Source organism: Homo sapiens, chromosome 6, assembly GCF_000001405.40.
Source record: "Homo sapiens chromosome 6, GRCh38.p14 Primary Assembly".
In the NCBI taxonomy this organism is placed as follows: Eukaryota; Metazoa; Chordata; class Mammalia; order Primates; family Hominidae; genus Homo; species Homo sapiens.
The window spans coordinates 156,679,349-156,697,615 of NC_000006.12; the positions used below are offsets into that span (position 1 = coordinate 156,679,349).

An 18,267-nucleotide genomic window follows, 5' to 3' on the forward strand; every position below is an offset into this window, starting at 1 on the left:
TAAAAACAGTTATCTGCCCCACAGACACCCAATATACAATGGAAAGACAGGGATAAGATAACTGCAATTGATACTTCCACTCAAAAACAAGGGGATGGGAGGCACAGAACTGTCACTGGCCCATAACAACTCTTGAAATCCAGCTGGGCACATGTTTCAGGCCTTCTCTTCTGGGAATAAAGAATGTTCCTTTACTGGGGGCCAATTCTGCTCACTAAGATTGGTTCTCTCCATTCTTATTCTTCCCAGCTCTTGGTTCTGCCCTAGTCTTGTGGCTTTACCTTCTGAAACACCTTTCATTTATCCTCAACAATGGCCCACGTTTGCAGCTAGGAAGCTTTCTTAGTCTTCTTTCTGCCCGTGGAAAGTTGGGAGTACAGAGGCCTCTTTTTAATTTTGAATTCCCTCTTTCCCTTTCAGTCCAAGCTGACAGTGCTCTCATAAATACAATACTCTCAAAAAACTTTGTGGGTTTCCTATTAATTTTATAGTTTCTCTCCAAGCCCAAAAGGTATATCCATAATTATTTTCAAGACATACCTCTACTTTGAACATGTCAAGTTGCTATGAAACAATGCCCTTAAGATTCTTTGTCTGGTGAGAGAGTCTGTTAGGTACCTCCTTAAATTTTTCTGAAGTCTTAACAATAGCCATTTCCTCATTGTTCTTCCAGCATCTGCTAACAAACTTCTTGCTTCTATTGCAGCCTCTACCTGCCACCTAGTCACCAAACCATTGTCACATGTTTTAGGATTTTGCTACACTTGCACCTAGTGTCAGATAACAATTTCTATATCAGTTTCTCTGACAAAAAGCAAAGGCAACACAATGGAGCAAAAATAGCTTTTTCCAAAAATGGTGCTGGAACAATTGGACATCCTCATACAAAACACCCTGAAACTTCATGGTTTTAAACAACCGCAATTTATTATTTGTCATGATTCTATAGGTTGGCTGAGGAATTCTCTTCTGGACTTGCCTGGGTACAGTCCACTGGCAGTTGACTAAGACTGAGCTTACCTGGGCCTTTCTCTGCAGAAGTCTTTCTTCGTGAGCATAATTGTTCACAGCATGGGAGTCTTAGGGTTACAAGAGACCAAAAGCAGAAGCTCCCTAGCCTCTATAAGCCTGGCCTCAGAAGACATCCAATGTCACTTCTGCCAGATTCCATTTGTCAAATCAAGTCACAAGAGCAGCCTGCAGTCAAAGGATAGAAAAAAATGTAATTCTCCTTTTGTTTGAAGGTGTAGCAAAGAGATATGAATACAGGAAAGTGTAATTCACAAATTATTAGGGGTTATCATTATAACAATCTCACACACACATACACACACATAATGTAGGGAAATATGAGAATATGTGCACATGATTTTTTCACATCTGAATTTGGAATCGTGATATTTGCTTTACTAGTTTACTTAGATAAATGTAGTTGAGTCATAATATTTTATGATAGCTAGTGAATGGCCTATAGTATATTTGGCAAAAGTAATGGATTCTTAGTGATTTGAGATTTGTCTAGAGCTCCTGGCTATAAAATGTTTCCTGTAAAGTAAAATGATATTGCTGAGAAATTTTTGTGGAAATTACAGAGTTTATGGATTAGCAAAGTGAGAATTAATGAGGTTCCTCTATCTTTACTACAACCTAAGAACTAGAACTCCTATAAAGAAATTAGTTCTAAGAGTGAAGGCCTTTTTCAGATCATTCTGGCAAAGATGACATCATATTGAAAGCAAAAGACTGTAAAAGCCGAAATTTGGCCATTATAGAGATCATTTTTACTGCAACGTGTAATTTATATTAATTAAATTTTCACATGGATAACTTGGCAATAAAATTATTTATAATCTAAGTATGTCTGTAATCCTACTATGAAATATTTTTTACAAAGGTTTGAGACAACGTGAGCTATAGTTTTCTATCTTTATTTCTCAGTCACTTTTACCATTAAGAAATTTTTATACAGTAGAGTATAAAGTGTTGTTTCTCAGATATCTGTAACTGAAACAAAATATTATTTTTACTATTTCAGAAATGTGTAAAATGAGTGATTATAAAAATACATCATAACGTTTACCATCTTCTTTCATGCATTAAGGGAGCTACTAACAAAGTTGTACTGAGGAATATTGAATAAGACTGTTTCAGTTGGAGGACATTTAATTTTACATATGGGAGAAAGATCCAATCAAATCAGATAGAATCTCATGACATAATTTATACCTGTAGTGCTATTATGTCATCTTAATTGTTTAATAGTCTTTATCAGGCAAAAAGTTTTGACCTCTCCCATCAACGTTGACTTAAGACACACTGCTATAGCCAGCTTCAGAATAAATTACGCAGTCACAGAAAATGTTAAAACTGTGTGTAGAACACTTAAATGCATTAAAATTTTCAGTAATTCATCCTGTACAATCTTTCTCCAATAACATTTCAAATCTGACAGCAATTCTGCCAAAAAGTTTAAAATGTAAAATGATTATATGAGGTACCCAGAGTAGTCAAATTAATAGAGACAAAAAGTAGAATTCTGGTTGCCAGGGGATGGGAGAAGGGAAAATGGGGAATTACTGGAGATGGATGGTGACTATTGCTTGCACAACAACGCAAATGTACTTAACGTCCCGGAACTATACTCTTTAAAATGGTTAAAATGGTCAGTTTTATGTTGTGTATATTTCACCACAATAAAAAGATATAAAAATGAAATTAAAATACTGCAACTAGAAATAAATGCTAGCATCTTGGAATGTTTGTAGGTACAAAAGGAAGCAACGAAGATGACAGAACATAATCCACATCAACAATGGCACTGAGATGCGACAATAAAAGTGAAGGGAAAAAATCCCTTTTCCAAAATGGCAGTCACCACCACCACTAATACAGATGAAACTTGGCTTCAGAGGGTCAGTCAGATTCCGGAGAAGCATTGCTGACAGACATAAGTGCAAGCAGAGCACATTTAGTCTGCAAAAAAGCTCATAGCTTAAAAGGTGACTAAGTCTTGAATTAATCACTCCACTTACATTATTATTTTTTTAAATCAGGACTAGCTTAAGCATCACTACACCTAGCTGTCTTTACAGATCCCAGGGCAAAATCAGGAACCTCCATACAACATCTCAAATATTGCAATTCCAATATCTCTTCTCACTATGTTTCCCCATGCCCTGGCCTTCACCTGGCTGATTCATTTATCTAGGTCTCAACTCAGACTCTCTGAGGACGCTTCTCACTTTTCCCTTCTCTGATGGCTTCCTTAGTGTTCAAAATCACTCCAGTTTCCCTACCAGTGTTCCCCTGAGTACCTGTGGGTCTTTCCCACAAGCCTGGAAGCTGTTGGAAGGCTACAATGGTGCCTTGTTCATCAATGTATCCCCAGCCCCTAGTACAGTGTTTGGCCCATAGTAGACAGATAATACATGTTTGTTGAAGGAATGAATGAAGAATTAAATGAACGGAACACATGGGTCAAGCTTCTTGAAGACGGGTCAATTGCAAGAGACAGGCTCAAAGCCAAAGACAGATCCGGGGACCCAATCCATCCAATTGGAATGAAGTATTAAAAGCCACCATGGAGATGATACAAACCAAGACATAGCAGCAAGAGGTTGGAATGCAACTTTAGCCAGTAGCTCATCAGAAGGTATTACACTTCCCAACTGGTGCATTCCAGAATGCAATTTCTGTTCTGGAACATTGTTGTAATTGTTGCATTCAGAATATAAACTTTGAAAGTCCTATGAAGAGTTATGTAGAGTAGCTGACCCATTTGCTCATGAAAAATATTTTTCACTGGGCTTATTATGTGTATGTATGCCCGTATCGACAAAATCAAAAAAGGCTTTGTGTTTTATCTATGTAAACATTTTACTGTAAAAGTAAGAAAAAACGCAAAAACATGCAACTCAAGATATTCCCAGAATCTCTACAACCCTAATTCAAGTAAATATCCAAGTGACGCAGACTCATCCTGGGATCCACCAAGCCACTTATCCCTCTTCTCTCCACACTCAAAGCACCCACCTTTCTCTTCTCCTTGTTCATCTCTGCCTTTAAATTGTCATTGTTGAGATTTTTGGGTTTTTTCTTTACATGTATAATATTTAGTTTTTTGTTTTTTTTTTTTTACATGAAGTTTCACTCTGTTGCCTATGCCGGAGTGTAATGACACTATCTTGGCTCACTGCAACCTCCACCTCCCGGGTTCAAGCAATTCTTGTGCCTCAGCCACCAAAGTAGCTGGGATTACAGGTATGTGCCACCATGCCCGGCTAATTTTTTTGTATTTTTAGTAAGGACAGGGTTTCACCATGTTGGCCAGGCTGGTCTCAAACCTCTGGACTCAAGCAAACCACCCACCTTGGCCTCCCAAAGTGGGATTACAGGCATGAGCCACTGTGCCCAGCCTATTTATTCAATTTTTAAAACAAGTCAGTAAGTTTAGAATTTCTTTCAAAAATTAAAAAAAAATTGAGTTGCATTTTATTTATTTGCGAACCCCAATTGGTTTCCTGCCCACACCTCCCCTTTCCTCGAATCATTCTTGGGTAGAATCACCTGTGATAGAAGAAAAATCTCTGGTGACCACTGTAGCCCTAGCGAATGAAGTGCACGGCAGATGCAGCCCAAGCTCCAGCCCTTCCACATGAAAATCATTGTTTACACTTGATCAAGGGCCAAATGGCACTGACTGTATTACGAACAAGAAGATGTATCTTCCAAGTAATTAGCTAGTGCATAAATATCAAAATTAATAAAATAAGATACTATATCTTCTCATTTTGGTGGCTTCCAAACTGGTAGAAATTTGTTCTCCTGAACTCTTAAGATTTTCCCAGGAAAGGTAGAACTACATCAAAAAGAAGCTGAAAAAAAAAAAAAAAAATCCCTACAAGCAAAGGCCAGCTCAAACCCTAGATAAACTTTCCTCCCTCCAATCAGCATGTTACAGAAAATAATGTTTCCATTTAACAACAGATAGTTTAACAATCATTATTCTATGCCAGGACCTAGCAGTGCATAAATGGCTTCCCCTTTTGAAAAGTTTCTTCTTGCCCAATTGGACTCTAAGCCTCCTGAGGAAAGGGCTTACCAAATTCCATTTTAATGTAGTCACAGTTAGCTTAATAGCCTCAGGAATAAGGGCTGGCATGCCACTGGGGGTGTCAAAGAATAACAGGGGCAGGAGGGAAGGGGTAAGGAAGAGATTGCCAAGCAGCTAGCTTATTTCATTTCTGTTTATTCAACAAGCAGGTTTTATACCTACTGTAAAATTATTTTTTTATTTGCACATTTTATATATTACCTCTCACGGTTCTATGGGCTGACTAAGCTCAGCTGGGCAGTTCTTGCTTGGGGTCTTTCATACAATTGCAGTCAGACAACAGCTGGGGCTGGAGTCATCAGAAGTTTGGACAGGCCTGGCCATCCAAAATGGCCTATTCACTTGGCTGGCAGTGAATGGCTGGCAGTTGATGTTATCTGTTGGCTGGGAGTTCACTGCACACTATCAACCTGTCCACCTGATCTCACCTACACAAGATCCCTGATTCCTGAAGATTGCAGCTGGGTCCTAGGAGGGAATGTCCCAAGAGTGAGCATTCCAAGAGTCCCAAGTAGAAGCAGCAAGATTCTTATAATCTAGCCTTGAACGTCATAAAGCATCAATCCAGCTACAGTCCAGATTCAAGGCGGGGACACATCAGAGTGTGAATAAAGGAGTCAGGGCTTCTGGGTGGGAGAAATCTTAGGAGAAGGAACAAGATAGGCAGATAGATAGATAGATAGATAGATAGATAGATAGATAGATAGATAGAACATAAAATTTATAGATATATTTAGATACATTATATATGTATTTAGATATATATGTATATATAGCCAGATATTGCACATTACACAGTGTGCTTTATGAGCATTTCATTCACAAAAGTGAGTCCTGGTAGCTAGATATAAGCATTCAAACTTTACAGATGAGGAACCTGAAGCTCAGAGAAGCTAAGTCACTTCTCTGAGGTTACCCAGCAATGACTTTTCCTCTCTGAAATCCAATGGGCCATCTACCGCTATTAACCCAAAGTGCTCAATGAGCTCTCTCTACTATTTCCCAGGTGCAAGGTTTTGTTCTAAGGGGCATTGTTGGAAATATGAATGATAGAGGAGATACATCCCCTGCCTTCAAGGATTTTATAATCTAGTAGAGACCAAAAATATTGAGGTAAGATAATTCGTGGCTCAACAAGGAAACCTCCATTATAACAGATCCCCCTTTATCCAAACTACTGAAATTAAATATTAGGAACATCCAAGGGAAATTGCCCTGAGAAACCTCTTTGACGCTTTTTACGTCCTTCAAAGAGATTGAAAGAAAAGGTAAAAATGAGGAAGATGAGTAAAGGGTAGGACTAGAATGCAGGAGATCTGGAGGACTCCCTAAAAGGCTATTGAAAGGAAGGCTCCACCACTGCAATGAAGAAACTTTGTTTAACATGCAAAAATGTAAAAATGTAAATTGATTTCTTTCTAAAAGGCTATGCAAACAGGGTGTATATTTGTGTTTTTCTGTCAAAGAATGGGTTTAAAATACCTTTTTCCCTTTCCCACTGTAGTAGATGGATAGTCATAAAACCTTCCACCGTTTTTATCACACCGCTGATCACTTTCTCTACCTACAGGGCAATAATTTTCCACTCTGTAACCCAATCAATATGCTATCTACCACTAACTCCCCTTGCTATCCTTCTCCTCAACCTCAGTTATCAGATTTTTTTAAATTACAACTTTAAGTTTCAGACAATTTAAGTCCGTGGTATCTTTCAAGCTATTCGTTTAGTTTTTCATACATTTTTTAAGTGTCTATGTTCTTGCTGTCAACTGTTAAAAGCTGGAGAGTTTAGTTTTAAGAACTTGAGCCACAGTACACCTTATTTGTCCCCTTGCGTCTCGCTACTGCAGCCCTAGGTGCTTTGTATAATGCATGAGTGAACCCCGCTTAGAAATAGAAATGCATTTTCAATAAGTATTTATTATGTTGTTCTGAGCATACAGCTTTAAATTTGCCCGCTGTAGCTTGAAGCATTATACAAACTGTTGGTCTGCTGACTGCCTCTCTGGCAGCAACACACAGAGAAAATAGATTGCTAAGGGTTTTTTTCCCTCCTCCTCCCCCTCTCCTCTCTCCTCTCTCTCTCTCCTCTCCTCTCTGTTTTTTCCTTTTTCTCTTTTTAAACAAGTCGTGGACATTTTTTAATCTTGTGGCATTTTTAATCAACACGTATTTCCTTCCAAGACCTATGATCCCCTATTGATTCCCATTAAAATGCTTTTCTTTTCTTTGCCCCCTCTGCTGATCGAATTTCAGATCAGCCACAGGAGATGCAACTAACCTTCCGGCACTACTGAACCCAACCGAGCGAGGGTGATCAAAAGGCTTGATGCATTCATTAAACATTCCCATCGCCCGGGCAGGAGCTCTGATGGAAGCTATCTCTCCGCATTGCAATTTTTTCCCCCTTTTTGTCTTTCCCCCCACCTCCAAAAAAATGTTTTTTGCCTTTGATCGCAAGGGGCGGGGGTAGAACATGAGAACAAAAGAGACCTATCTTTTTCCTCAGGGCTGACGTCAGTTTGATTTTACTGACAACTATTCGAGCGTGTGTAGCAGTTGGAAGCGGCCCCACGACCGCCCCACCTCCCACCTTCCACTTTTGGGAGAAAACAAGACTTTTAGCGGCTCCGGAGACGCGCCCTGAAAATGGCCCGCTCGGGCTCTGCGCTTGCTGCCCTCCTGCCTGCTCGGCAAAGGGCATTCGAGGCTTATTTGTGTGGCACGATCTTTACTGGGGCGGAAAACACGCGGCGGGGGAGGAGCGGGCACAGACGCAGCCGGGCGGGGAGAGCCAGGAATGTTCCTCCCGGCGTGGGGAGAGGAGAGGACACGGGCAGAGAAAATAGTCCCCGCCCGGCGCGGGGCGCGCGGGGTCCGGGTCCCGGGCGGCTCCGGGTGGCGCGGCGGCGCGAGGGTTCCGGCCGCGCGGAGTCGGGGCGCAGGGAGCCTCAGACGCCGCGGGCGCGCGTGCGCGGTGCGGCCCCCACGCCCCGGCCGCGGCGGCCTCGGCGGCGCCAGCCTCCGGCTCGGCGAGCGCGGCGGCGGGCGGGCCGCAAAACCTGGGCCGGAGCCGGGCGCGGAGCGGGCGGCGCCGCGGAGTTTGGGCGGCAGCGCGGCCCGGCGAGGAGCTGGAGAAGCCGGCGGCAGGGGGACGCGCACGCCGAAGAAAAGCCCCTCTCCCGCGTCCCTCACTCGCTCCTGGAGGCCGAAGAGCGGGGCTCGCGATGCCGGTGCAAGATTCCCAATCAGGCCTGGGAGGAAATGGATGCAATTAGGGCACACCCCCGTCCCGCAGTTGCCAGGAGCCTGAAGATCTATGACCGACTTAAGCCATTTCTGGAAAAGTCATATTTTCCAGGCTTTCGTGAAATACTCATTGCTCCTATTCTAAATCTGGAGGCGAATGTGCATCTATTTCAGGGGGAATGAAAGATGTGAAAAGTAGACTGGGCTCCGGGAAATGTGGGTAATGGGACTGGACCTGCGCCTGGGGTCCGCCCACCCGTCATCTCCCGGGAGCCCCCCGACGTGTGCCATTAAGCATAAGGCGCGTTAAGCGCTGCCACAAAGTCCCGAAAAGGCGAATTAAAAAGGATCACTTCTCCCTCAGGATCTTGATTTTTACTAAGGGAAAACGTGCGTTAAAGAAAAGCCAGCGAGCGCTGGCGTGGCCCTGTCATTATCTTGGCGTCTCTGCTGACCTCCATTTCAGCCTGGACTACACTGGGTTCCAGTTCTGTTTTCCTATTTCCCCGGACTCCTAGAGGGTGGATACCAAGGCTGATTGTTGTCTGTTCTGCCCCAGCCCTCCAGGGTACACCATAGGTGCTCAGTAGATGACTCCTGAGTATATATTGGAGGTGATAGTAAAATGCTACCAAGCACAGAGGAAAGAACAGTTAAAGGGTCAGACGGTGCTTTGTGAAAGGCCAGGCATTTGAGCTGGATTCTGAAGACCAACTCTAGATGACAGTAAAGGCCACTCCAGGTTGAGGGAACAACATGAGCAAAGCAGGGAACCTACAATGAGTAGGAAAGTGATGAATCTGCATAGGGGGTTACTCAGGGGGCATAGAAAAGGAAGCCAGGAAGCCACTGAATACCTTGCCACACAGGTAACAGCCAGGAAAAGCACAAAACATGCTGTTCAGTGGTTCTGGAATATGGGCATGCAAATATATAATAAAATAAGCAATGTGGATATACAAAAACAAAAGTAAAAAGAAAAACAGGACAGTTTATTGGGGAATTTCAGAAAAAGTACATGAAACAAAAAAGAAATGTCAAGGAAAATCCCTGGCCTGAAACTCCCAGAACAAAACATTTAATACCATTTGTGGGGGCTCTTTATGAAAGAGGGAGAAAGAAAAGAGGTAACAAAGAGGAACTAGTGTTTTGATTAAAGATCTTTGACCATAACAATGCGAAAGCATAAGGTCTCTTATCATAAGAGACCTGTGTCTTATCCTGTATCATAAGACACAGGAGATTTTAGACATCACTGTTAAGAAAGAGCTGGAACTCAGAATTAACAAGAGAAGAGGGAGAGATTAAACAGAAGATAAATGTGGATCATCAAGGAATTTTAAATTGTAGCACAGTCACTCAATAGAGTATTATGCAGTCATTAAAACTGCAGTGTATTTATTGGAAGGATGTTCACAACCTATTGTTATGTGAAGAAACAAGTTACAGATGAGCAGATCTGGAGGGACATACTTAAAATGTTAGCAGCGGCTCTCTCTTGATGTTTTGATTGTTAGTGATTTTTCGCTTTCTCCTTCATGCCTGTATTACCTGAATTTTTACAATGAGCAATTAATAAAACAATAAATGAACACAAGATTAAGCAAAGTTTTAATCTTGTGAAAATGTATGTGAGTTTTCTGTTGTGAAACTGAAATGATGTCTGTGGCATTGGAAATCCTCAAGGCAAAGAAGGAAAGAAGAGAGCCTCCCGAGTCATACTAATCAGAGGCCTGCACACGTGCTATTTGGTACTCTCTGTACCATCTGGCTCAAGCTACTTCAAGACCTGTCTGGGCCTCAGCAACCTGATCTCGAAATGAAGGGAATATTAGCATCTACCTAACAAGTGGCTATGAAGACCAGAAATGATATCTGTAAAACGCTTAGTGCTCAGACCCCACGAGGCGCCCAGGGCTCCGTGAGTGGAAGCTCTCATAGGAGCAAAGAGCATAGGCTTTAGAAAATGCCTTTCTTCTGGGATCCTTCCTTTACCACTGTGGTGGTCATTAGAGCTGTCTGCAAAAATTCCTCCTCTCCCTTTGAGATAATAAGAGTGTACTTCCTTGGCCCTCTGAAGTTACAGGTACCATGTGACAGCCTCTGGCCAACAAAATAAACAGAAGTAACATGTGCCAGCATTGAGCACTTTGCGGTCTTCTCCTTTTCCACTTGCATGACAACCAGCAGTGTCCTGGTAGTGTCTGCCGAGGTCCTAGATTGAGGAAGAAGCCTCCAGAGACCTTGGTAGACATTTAGCAGGAGGGAGGAATAAATCTTTGATATTGTAAGCCACTAAGATTTGGGAGCTCTTTGTTATCAAAGCTCAGTTTAAGTCACCCTGACTGACACAGCTACTTACTAGTTTCGTGACCTTGAGAAAGTGACCTACCTGCTCCAGTTTGCCATCTATTCCCCTGAAAATCTAGGTGTTAGCATTCCTACTCCATAGGGTTGGAGGGCAAAATGAGCTCCATATCCAAAGTGCTTGGCACATCCTGGCACCTGTTAAGTATACATGGAATGACAGGAACTGTTACCATTTAACACGCTGGCTTCTCTCCCCATCTCTTAAATGGGAGCAGGTGTCAATGCCGAGGGGATCATCTGATGCTTCCATCTTGTCTTCCTACCATTGGATTTGCTTTATGGCAGCCATATGAATGGAGATATTCCTTTGAATAAGAGATGGCAGTGGCAATGTAGGTAAGAAAACTCATTCAGACATTATTTACCATGTCCTTTTCATCCTTGGAAGAAATTCCAAATGTTCATGTCCTAGCAGCTAGAGTCAGCAGCCACATGACCAGTAGGACAGGTCTCTACCACGATGGCCAAGGGAATCCTCTGGAGAACTAAGAACACCAGAAGGTTCCAGTGACCCTCAGGGTCACACAGAGAACATGAATAAGATTTAGAGAGATGGCTATAAGGATGGTGACCACCAGTTTCTTCTAGAATAAACCAGTTTTCTTATCCTCTCTGGGTCATAAAAATGCAAGTGGTATTGAATGTGTGTGTGTGTGTGTGTGTGTGTGTGTGTGTGTGTGAATGACAGTTGTGTGGCAGGTTGTTCTGATGCTCTGTGGACTCCCCTGCTTGGGGAGTGGAGAGCATGTGGCCATTTAAAAAAAAATCTGGTTTTCAGGGCATAGGAAAGCTTTGTATCCATTACTACCTAATCAGGAAGGCTTGCAATTCTGACGGCAAATGAACAGTCCTCTGAGGGTGCTTGGGCATGAGGACAGACACCTCAGAGAATCCAGGAGTGCAATGCATGGCTCCTCTCCCCAGTGGGGCTCAGCAGGGGGTATTGTCACACCTTCCCAATTTGGAGAGGGATATAAGCCCAAGGAAATTCTCAGGCAATGCACAATGGAGTCTCTGTTACCTGGATTTCAGTTACTAAAGCCTCATGTGAAGTGAAGCACTGAGAAAACCTCTCCACTACCTCTGAGAAAGAGTAGCATGCAACAGTGAGTAATGAGGAACCATAGCTTTACATTTCAGGGCACTTTCTAGTTAACCAAGTGTCTTCACACGCATTGACTCATTTCATCCTGACAATGAAAGGATCAGTCACATAACAGAGAAGTTTTGCCCCACTGTGCCTCTACTTGACTCGCTGGAAATCGTTAGTCTTTCTAGACTTTTAAGCCCTCCACCACTACAGAAGACAGCGGAAAAGCAGAGGAAAGACAGGGAGTTAGTTCAGGGACTTGGCAGCCCCTCTCAAATGAAGATCATTAAGCAGTGGGCACATAATTTGACTATGACATGGGCATTCGACTTGTGTTTCTGTCACAACCAACACACAGCTGCCTCCCCCTTTCTAGATCCATTGCACGGATCCATGCTTGGAGAGCCACACCCCTGGATTGCTCCTGCCCCAGCTCTGCACACACCCACCCATCCTCTACATTGCAGCCCGACTCATCTTCCTAAGCACCATTCTCATCGTGGCAGTGCTCATGAAACGCTTTCTAGTGCCTAAGTACAAGCTCCTAGGCCCATCGTTGATGGACCCCTGAAGACTGGTCCCACCCTACCAATTCCTACTTTAGTCAAAAGTGCATTTCCAAGTTGCTTCCACCCTGGCTGGAATGTCCTTCCTTCTCTCTGCCACAAATCAAAATTCTACACACAAGGCCAGTTAGATGTTATAGCCTCCATGAAAATGTCATTGACACCTCCATGGACAAAGGCTTTCCATACCCCTGAATTTCAGTAGGTATTTTATGGCTCAGCACAGCTGTCTTCAAACAAGGCACCACACCTAGTCCTCTGGGCCTGAGACTTTCCAAAGGGGCCCACAGACAAGGATATTTTGAAGGAAAGCAACATGCAGATCTTCAAATTCAATATCTGCTTTTTATTAAACACCCATTTCCCTTTCACAGTGGCTTCTATTCCACTTACAAAAGAGAAGCGTCCCTCTCCTGCATTTCCAGTCTTTCTGGGATGCCTTGCTCTGGGGTTTAAAAAACCCTCCTGGACACCAAATAAAAGAAAAATGGAAAATATTGGTGTAGGTATAAGGGAGTGAGTGGCTCTAAGTTTACCTTAACAAAGGACCACAAGCGGCAGGGCTTAAACAACAGAAACCTATGGTCTCGCAGTTCTGAGGCCAGAAGTCCAAAATCAAGGTGTTGGCAGAGTTGGTTCCTTATGAGGCCCCTGAGGAAGACGCTGTACCAGGCCTCTCTCCTTGGCTGGTAGATGGCCATCTTCCTCCTGTGTCTCTGCACATCATCTTCCCTCTAGATGTGTCTGTCCCTATGTTCAAATTTCCTCTTTTTATAAGAACACCAGTCATAGTGGATTAGGGCCTACCCTAATCACCCCATCTTAACCAATTATATCTACGATGACCCTATTTCCAAATACAGGCCCATTCTGAGGTACTAGGGGTTAGGACATCAACATATGCATACGTAGGAACAAAGTTCAGTCCTTCACAGACTAGGTAACAAAGGCTTTGCAAACCATACAGTTTCCAATATTTTGATTTCAACAAAACTGAAGGAGGATCTAGTAGAGTTGTCAGCTGACAGATCATTAGAAAATCATCTCTGATCATACATTACCATGTGATTTGGGGCAAATAAGTCAGAAAAGATTATTTGCCCCAAAAGACAAAAATTGAAAGACAATTTTTGACTTATTTGCCCCAAAAGACAAAACTTGAAAGACATTTTTACAACAAAACTTTTTCCATTCCCCTCTCCTTATTTATAAGAACAAGGATTTCTCATCTCTAAGAAATGAGAAATAGAAATAGAAATAGCATTAATGCCACACACTGTCATCCTAGCAATCTAGCAATGAGTAGCAAGTCGGGAGGCTGAGGCAGGAGAATCGCTTGAACCCGGGAGGCGGAGGTTGCAGTGAGCCGATATGGCGCCATTGCACTCCAGCCTGGGCAACAAGAGTGAGACTCTGTCTCAAAAAAAAAAAAAACAAGAAAAGAAATGCAAACTTCCAATAAAACTTTACTTTTCATGTTAGCATTTATAAAATTTGATATTCATTTAGGTTGTTTGGATCAGTTGTGTAACACTAGTCATTGCAATGAGAACTCAATTCAGAGAACTCTTAGAGCCTATGGTCACAAGAATTTCAAAGTGTATAAATTTTAGTTTGTATACATATGTTTGATAGATAAAAGTACAACGAGATATTCAGTAAAAGACTTTCTATCATTATATTACATTAGCATAAAATTCTGAAGGGGAAGTAGAATGGAAATAAAATTTCAAAGAGAAAATGGAATACAATTTTTGCTTGCTGAAGATGAACTGGCATGTGTATTTCTTAAATGGATGATGGTGGGTAACAAACTGTGATGGGATGTGAATTCCATTGAGATGCATTTAAAAGAGTGATGTCACAGTTTTCTTTTAAAATGTCAACATTTACAATATGCTAGAATTCACATGTTTATAACTATTCAAATGTATGATAAAATTATAGGTATCGATTTAAAAATATGCAAAGAAGAGCATTGTTTTCTAAACTATTTTAGGGTTCTTGAGCAAAAACTTTAAAGACTAATTCAGCATACAGTGACAAATTTTGTATTGTTCTTTAGTTGTCTGAGTGCCTCGGGGTATGTTAATCCAGGGAGATTAACTGAGTTTTGTCTTTTTTTTTTTTTTTTTTTTTTGAGACAGAGTCTCACTCTGTAGCCCAAGCTGGAGTGCAGTGGCATGATCTTGGCTCACAGCAACCTCCACCTCCAGGGCTCAAGCGATTCTTGTGCCTCATGTAGCTGGGACTACAGGCGCGTGGCACCACGCCCAGCTCATTTTTTGTATTTTAGTAGAGACAGGGTTTCACCATGTTGCCTAGGGTGGTCTTGAACTCCTGAGCTCAGGCGATCTGCCCGCCTCAGTCTCCCAAAGTGCTGGGAATACAGGCGTGAGCCACCTCGCTCAGTGAGCTTTTGTCTTGACTAAGCATTGTCACCATTTTCACCCACAAGTGGAATGATGGGATTGGATGCAAGCTTGAAATCTTTGATTCCCTTCAGAGAGGGAGCATGGTGGCAATGAAAAGTACATGGTCTCAAAACCACAGTGAGATACTACTTCACACCCATTGGGATGGCTATTATTAGAGAGAGAGAGAAGAAAATAAGTGTTGGCACAAATGTGGAAAACTGGAACCCTGGTTCCAGTCCCTGGTGCAATACTGGTGGAAATGGAAAACAGTGTACCCACCGGGGAAAGCACTATGATGATTCCTCAAAAAACTGAAAGTAGCACTACCATAGGATCCAGCAATCCCACTTCTGGGTATATATACCCCAAATAATTGAAAGCAGGGCCATGAAGAGATATTTGTACACCCATGTTGATAGCAACATTATTCACAATAGCCAAAAGGGGGAAACAACCCATATGCCCATGGCAGATGAATAAACAGATAAATGGTGGAATATCCATACAATGGAATATGATTCAGCCTTAAAGAGGAATGAAATTCGCATACATGCTACAATATGGATGAGCCTTGAAGGCAATATGCTAAGTGAAATAAGCCAGCCACAGAAGGACAAATACTGTGGGATGTCACTTATATCTAGAATAGTCAAACTCATAAAGACAGAAAGTAGAGTGCTGGTTACCAGGGACTAGGGAGATGGGAGGAGAATGAGAAGTTATTATTTTACAGATTCAGAGTTTCAGTTATGCAAGATGAAAAAGTTTTGGAGATGAAACCAAGTGAGGTAGCATGCATCTGTAGTCCCACCCACTCAAGAGGCTGAGGCAGGAGGATTGCTTGAGCCCAAGAGTCTGAGACCAGTCTGGGCAACATAGTCAGACCCTGTCTACACAAAAAATAAAAATTAGTTGCGTGTGGTGGTGCACTCCAGTAATCCTCACTACTCAGGAGGCTGAGGCAGGAGGATGACTTGATCTCAGGAGTTCGAGGCTAGCCTGGACAACATGGCAAGACTCCATATATTTAAAAACAAAATGTTCTGGAGGATAGTGGGGTGGTTGCACAACAATGTGAATGTACTTAATGCTACCAACTTTATACTGAAATATGGTTAAGAGGGTAAATTTCACTTATGTATATTTTATCACAATTTTTTAAAGGATATGGTCTTTGCATTTGGAGAGATCTAGTCTCAAATCCAACATCTCCTAGGTATGACCTTGAACAGGTTGCCTAAACTCCATGAGCCTCAGTTTCCTCCTGTCTAATGGGAATAAAAACACCTAACTTAGAGGATTTTTATAAGAATGAAAACATAAACAGATCTGTAGCGGATTCTGTGGAGAGCCACCCTTCAGGACTCAGGTGCCACTGCCCTAGCTGCTGGGGGTGTTGACTGCTGGCGGCCTACAGCTGTGTCGCTCTCCAGGCATCCGCTCCCACAGGGAGCTGCCTAGCCCAAGTCTATAACCCCTCTTGGGAGACAGCAACTGGTTGATGCTGGTTTATAAGGTCCAGCCCTCTTGCCTCAACTGGAGGAAACTCTGAAGGGTCCTCCCAACCCCACAGCTTTGGCGGGATCAGTTGGGGGTCTGTGTTGAGATACCCCACGTTCTCCCTCTTCCCAGCCCTGCTTCTCTCTTGTTCTTCTGCTGGTGGGAGAACAGGGCTTCTGCCTGTGCATTGCCAGCTCAGAGTCTGTTTCCAGGTAACCCTCTCCTGCTTCAAAATGTTCCAAGAGCTGCCCGTTGGCCTCAGAATGAAACCTGCAATGATTGTCATTTCCTGCAAGACCTGACACAGCAGAGTCACTTACTGTCTGTCCTGTTTCTTCTCCTGCCCCTCCTCCTGCCTCACCCCATTCCAGCCGCCCTGGTCTCAGGAATCCCCACAGCGCCTCTATACTTGCTGTTCTCTCTGCCTGGACCCTCGGCCTCTGGGGTTCACTTCATTCTTCCAGCCCACCCCGTCAGAGAGGCCTGTCTAAAATATCCCCTAGCTGGGCCCCAATGCCCCTCTATCCCTGTACCCTACTTCTTTTTCTTTTTCTTTTCTTTTGTCTTTTTCTTTTTCTTTTTTTTTTTTTTTTTTCTTTTGAGACGGAGTCTCGCTCTGTCACCAGGCTGGAGTGCAGTGGTGCGATCTCGGCTCACTTGAACCACCTCCCAGGTTCAAGCTATTCTCGTGCCTCAACCTCCCGAGTAGCTGGGATTACAGGCACACGCCACCACGCTTGGCTAATTTTTTTTTTATTTTTTATTTTTATTTTTTTTTTTAGTGGAGACCAGGTTTCACCACGTTGGCCAGGATGGTCTCAATTTCCCGACCTCGTGATCCGCCCACCTCGGTCTCCCAAAGTGCGGGGATTACAGGCATGAGCCACTGCCCCTGGCTCTTTATAGCATTGATCATTCCCTGAAATGATCGTGCATACTCATTTGCTTATAAGTACTAGAATGTTTCCCAAAGGCAGGGACTTGCTCTGCCTTCTGCCCTATGGTTCTCCCAGCAACTAGAATCCCTGGCACATACTAGGCACTCCAGAAACATTTGTGGAAAGAATTAATGAATTAGAGCTAATGCACACTGAGCATATAACTCAGTGTATACCATATGTCAGGGCCTCACAGATAGTACATTATTATTTTATTATATTTCTTGTCTGTCCAATTCAGACAGAGAATGTCAGACAAGGTCCTTTTTTTGTATCCCTTTCTATAGCACCAGGCACAGAAGCCCTCCATAAATACTTCTTAACTAGACTTAATATGTTCTAAAGCCAATGGTGAGATAGAACTGAGATTATTTTTTTCGTGGCTGGCTATCAGTTCTATTTCATTTGAATGGCCAAGATTCTCTCACAGCACATCAGGTCTCTATTAAAATTAATTATGATCAGACTCTATCCATCCATCACTTAGGGAGAAAAGATGACAGAGGTGTCCCTCCAAAGTCATCCTGGCCACTCCTGGAGGTGGAAGATTGCTCTGGGGCCCAATGTGACGTGTCTTCACTCTAATCATCAAATATTTTTAAATATTACTCAATAATCTCTAAGAAACTACAAAAAGGGAGGTCATCAATGTGAGTTCTGCCCCCAAAATCACTTAAAGTCCAAACTTGGCAGAGAAGAGAGGCCCCATCACTCTGCACCTGTTCCCTAGCCAGTTCTCACGGCCCAGGGCAATTTCCCCTTTCACTTCCCCTCAAGGGGAATGTACCGCCAAGCACTCCTACCTGGTTTGACATCCCATGTTCATGGCTGGATAATGACAGAGCCCTTCATGAATTCTATGGCATGCAGTATCTTCTGCTCTGCCATGTTCAGGGAGGAGAGAATACACATGCACAGCTGAAATCCCCTAGACAGTTACCATGTATCTATCTCCGTTCAGTGAAACAAGCCTGCAGAATGCTGTGAGCATTCTTTGTTCTTCTTCCTTTTTTGCAGATGTAAG

At 42.9% G+C, this 18,267-nt stretch overlaps 1 long non-coding RNA gene across 1 annotated transcript, besides 5 other annotated features; it reads right to left on the bottom strand.

Annotated features, from left to right (window-relative positions):
* Positions 1 to 905: 905 nt before the first annotated feature.
* On the bottom strand, positions 906 to 5,724 carry LOC124901444 (uncharacterized). The gene is made up of 2 exons (XR_007059829.1): positions 5,315 to 5,724; positions 906 to 1,197 (listed from the first exon to the last, which is right to left on the bottom strand). It is a non-coding gene; the product is annotated as an uncharacterized LOC124901444 (long non-coding RNA).
* Positions 6,660 to 7,587: an enhancer, noted in NCBI's record as "OCT4-NANOG-H3K27ac-H3K4me1 hESC enhancer chr6:157007142-157008069 (GRCh37/hg19 assembly coordinates)". NCBI's record gives its function as "activates a minimal SCP1, AML or CMV promoter by ChIP-STARR-seq in naive H9 embryonic stem cells {active_cell/tissue: H9 hESC(naive)}" and the evidence as "EXISTENCE:reporter gene assay evidence [ECO:0000049][PMID:30033119]".
* Positions 6,918 to 7,027: an enhancer, noted in NCBI's record as "active region_25312". NCBI's record gives its function as "activates an Ori minimal core promoter by ATAC-STARR-seq in GM12878 lymphoblastoid cells {active_cell/tissue: GM12878}" and the evidence as "EXISTENCE:reporter gene assay evidence [ECO:0000049][PMID:35858748]".
* Positions 7,588 to 8,514: an enhancer, noted in NCBI's record as "OCT4-NANOG-H3K27ac-H3K4me1 hESC enhancer chr6:157008070-157008996 (GRCh37/hg19 assembly coordinates)". NCBI's record gives its function as "activates a minimal SCP1, AML or CMV promoter by ChIP-STARR-seq in naive H9 embryonic stem cells {active_cell/tissue: H9 hESC(naive)}" and the evidence as "EXISTENCE:reporter gene assay evidence [ECO:0000049][PMID:30033119]".
* Positions 7,868 to 8,177: a silencer, noted in NCBI's record as "silent region_17706". NCBI's record gives its function as "represses an Ori minimal core promoter by ATAC-STARR-seq in GM12878 lymphoblastoid cells {active_cell/tissue: GM12878}" and the evidence as "EXISTENCE:reporter gene assay evidence [ECO:0000049][PMID:35858748]".
* Positions 17,714 to 17,763: an enhancer, noted in NCBI's record as "active region_25313". NCBI's record gives its function as "activates an Ori minimal core promoter by ATAC-STARR-seq in GM12878 lymphoblastoid cells {active_cell/tissue: GM12878}" and the evidence as "EXISTENCE:reporter gene assay evidence [ECO:0000049][PMID:35858748]".